Source organism: Homo sapiens, chromosome 16, assembly GCF_000001405.40.
Source record: "Homo sapiens chromosome 16, GRCh38.p14 Primary Assembly".
NCBI lineage: Eukaryota > Metazoa > Chordata > Mammalia > Primates > Hominidae > Homo > Homo sapiens.
In genome coordinates, this window is record NC_000016.10 from 20,776,325 (window position 1) to 20,780,192 (window position 3,868).

The following is a 3,868-nucleotide window of genomic DNA, read 5'->3' on the forward strand; positions in this document are numbered from 1 at the left end:
TTGTTGGTTTCTTGAAGAACCCTGATGGAGAGGCCTGGTCCTTCCCAAAGTGAAAGGATGAGCCAGTGTCAAGAGTCCAGGAATGCCAGACATGTGTTCCCCAATCTTCTTGCCTACTGTGTCGCCTGGGAAGAGTAAAACCTATTGTGAAGTGAATGCTTTCCATCCCTGTCTTAAGGGTCTGGGACTTAAGGGTGGTGGGGCCCAGGAGGAAGATCTATATATTTTTGAGAGTCCATTTATCCTTTGAGAAAATAATACCCAAAGCTTACTGAGCACTGTTCTAAGTTCTTTACATATTTTAACTCATTTAATCCCCTAATTATCCTATAAAAGAAGTAGTATTATTACAATATCACTTTACAGATGCAGAACCTGAAGCTCACAGAGGTGAAGTGGCTTGTCCCAAGTCCCAGCTATAAGAGTGTCTGGCTCCAGGACACTCTTAATCATTATACTTCATCTTACAGTGTAATATATAACCAGCAGGAATAGAACCACAGAAAAGATGAATGCCTCCACACTTCCTTTTGGAAATAAATCATAAAGCAATCATGTACATTTTAAGAGGCACTCAGCTGATGTGGTGAAGTGTACAGTTCTGGAGTCAGGCTACAGGGTTCAATCCCTGCACTGTCACTTACTACTTAAGTGATACCTTGGGCAAGTTATTCATAGCTTTTATGTTTTGGGGTTTTTTTGGTGGGGACTGAATAAGTTAAAACATATAATCAAATACTCAATAAATATTGGTTAATATTACTTTTCAATCAAAACCTTCTTCAAGCTCAATGTTAGGGATGGTCTTCAAATAAAGAATAATTATCCAGTATTTAACATGCTTTCATGTTAAGCCAAAAGGGTCATAGACTCTGAAATCCCTTGAAAGGCAAAAGCAGATAAGTGAAAGCAAGATAAATAGATATCTTCCTGGTAAACTGACTAACTCACTCTGAGAAATACAGAATGTATAGATGGTATCTACACTACTCTAACATAATGAAGAATAACATTTCTTCTAAACACTGTTTCTTTTCTGCCCCTTTAGGGACAGTTTTAATTCCAGGAACCACTCAGCTGACCCAGAAAGACATTCTCTACAGACTACAATCTTCAAAAGCAAACTGCATTATCACCAATGATGTTTTAGCCCCAGCAGTAGACGCTGTTGCATCCAAATGTGAAAATCTGCACTCCAAGCTGATTGTATCAGAGAACTCCAGAGAGGGGTGGGGGAACCTCAAGGAGTTGATGAAGTGAGTAGCCACACTTGTTGTAAAACAGCTTCCCAAAAGGAAAGGCAACAATAAAAAGATATTAAACCCAGCAGTGATTAGAAAAATGCAAATTAAAACAACAGGCAAAGGGAACAGTTGGTAGTTATTGCTGCACTAATAGTGCTAAACTCTGAAGTAGGAAGGAGCTTGGAGTGCTTTTTGTAGGTTGGGATCCCCTGAGATTGGAGATTGGTGTATAGGAAGTTTATTAAGGAGTTCTTTTGGGATTAACACCTGTGAGGAATGAGTAAGAATGTCGGACTGGGCAGAGAAAGAAATTTATTTGCGATGTATTCCCTACAAAGCTTTCAGTCAACCCACTGGGACCTCTGAAGGACCTCCTCAAAGCTGTTCCCAGCTAAAGCAAGAGGTCCTGGCCTTTATATACCCACATTGATCAGTAATTGGATGGGGTTGTCCCTAGGAGTCAAGACCTTTAACAAAGCCACTGTCTTCAGTCAAGGCAATCTCTAGAGAGTGCTCCCAGCACCTGTCACTGAAGGATCACAGTCAGTCCTTCAGTGTTGGCTATCCCATTCCCTTGCTGACAGCAACACTGGTATCAGGTTAAAAGAAAAAATGCTTAATGTTAATGGATGCAATTATAAAAGTGAATTTCACTGATGTTGAAGCCTAGCATGGGGTGTTTCCATGGGTTACTTGGAACTCTTGCCAGGTACTGGTTATGCCTTAGAATTGGGCTGGCAGCAAAGTCCTTCTCTAGAATGAGCTTCCTACCTTTACTCAAGGATTTGGGAGCATGCTTGCAACTATGGACTTTTCCTACCACATTTAAAATTCCTAATATTGAGTTCTTGCCAAAGGCCAAGTACGGTTCTAATAAAAATAATGTTATAATTGCAATCATAGCTTATATTGATACGGTTATGTGCCAGAAACTATTCTAAGGACTTCAGATATATTACCTCATTTAAACCTCACAGCAACCTAGGTACTATAATTACACAGCTGAATAAGGTCAAATGCTAGTATCTGGCAGAGCTAAGTTTCAAACCCAGGCAGTATGGGTGCTGAGCCTACACTCCTCACTTCTGTATGTACTGCCTCTAGTAAGAGATCAGTACAACAACCCTTCCTCAGGTTTTGAGGGCAACCGTATTGGTGATGGAAGTGATAGGAACACAGCTATAGATACTTTTTTTTTTTTAGACGGAGTCTCACTCTGTCACCCAGGCTGGAGTGTAGTGGCGCAATCTCGGCTCACTGCAACCTCCACCTCCCGAGTTCAAGCGATTCTCCTGCCTCAGCCTTCCAAGTAGTTGGGATTACAGGCACATGCCACTATGCCCACCTAATCTTTTTGTATTTTTAGCAGATATGGGGTTTCGTCATGTTAGCCAGGATGGTCTCAATCTCCTGACTTCATGATCTGCCCGTCTCAGCCTCCCAAAGTGCTGGGATTACAGGCGTGAGCCACTGCGCCCGGCCTATAGATAGTATTTTTAATTAATTAAGATAATTATGAAATCATAGACTGAACACTTGGTGTAGCTTTGTCAGATTTTGAAAACAGCTTTTTAGCCAGGCGCAGTGGCTGATGCCTATAAATCATCACTTTAGGAGGCTGAGGTGGGATGATGGTTTGAGTCCAGGAGTTCAAGACCAGCTTGGGAAACACAGTGAAACCTCTTCTCTATATAAATAAAAATAATTAGCCAGGCATGGTGATGCATACCTGTAGTCCCAGCCTACTCGGGAGGCTGAGGTAGGAAGATCGCTTGAACCCAGGAGGTCATGGCTGCAATGAGCCATGACTGAGCCACTGCACTCCAGCCTGGGTGAGAGAGAGAGAAACCCTGTCTCAAAAAAAAAAAAAAGAAAAGAAAAGAAAAGAAAGAAAAGAAAATAGCTTTTCTATATTTCTCATGAATGGCCTGGTTGTTTCTACTCATTCTCAACCCCACATGCCTGGATAAGTCTGTGTGCATCTTAGACACTTGATATGTATGTGTGCAGCTGCCCTAATGTGTGACTTGTATAGAAGTCTGATTATCCTTTGGAACTAAAAGGTTTTCTTTCTCTTTAACTGGAACTCTTTCTTCCCTGGATGGATGCTTAGATCCTGTTCAATCTTATTGTCTGCTATATCCAGAACTATGTAGACTCTCTTGTGGGAAACAGAAAAGCCAACCTTTCACGGTCAGCAAACTTTTTTTTTTTTTTTTTTGAGACAGAGTCTTTCTCTGTCACCCAGGCTGGAGTACGGTGGCTCGATCTTGGCTCACTGCAACCTCCACCTCCCTGGTTCAAGCGATTCTCAGCCTCCTGAGTAGCTGGGATTACAGGTATGTGCCACTGTGCCTGGCTAATTTTTGTATTTTCAGTAGAGACAGAGTTTCGCCATGTTGGCCAGGCTGGTCTCGAACTCCTGACCTCAGGTGATTCACCCGCTTCAGCTTCCCAAAGTGCTGGGATTACAGGCGTGAGCCACCATGCCCAGCCTCAGCAAACATTTTCTGTAAAAGGGACAGAGAATAAATACTTAAGGCTTGCAGGCCGTATAGTCAGTCTCATCACAACTACTCAACTCTGCCACTGTAGTGTGAAAGCAACCACAGGTACTACCTCAA

The 3,868-nt window shown here is 42.2% G+C and overlaps 1 protein-coding gene across 30 annotated transcripts in view; it reads left to right on the forward strand.

Annotated features, from left to right (window-relative positions):
• ACSM3 (acyl-CoA synthetase medium chain family member 3) overlaps nt 1–3,868 on the forward strand; it is a 123,177-nt gene that overhangs the window by 101,920 nt on the left and 17,389 nt on the right. For 18 of the 30 annotated variants that reach the window (XM_047434427.1, XM_024450368.2, XM_047434421.1 and 15 more), the window contains 2 exons: nt 1,049–1,256; nt 3,473–3,583. In XM_047434427.1, the coding sequence (XP_047290383.1) occupies nt 1,049–1,256; nt 3,473–3,583 (319 nt within the window). The remainder of the gene's footprint in view (nt 1–1,048; nt 1,257–3,472; nt 3,584–3,868) is intronic. The other 12 variants (XM_047434437.1, XM_047434435.1, XM_047434438.1 and 9 more) reach the window with 1 other exon arrangement.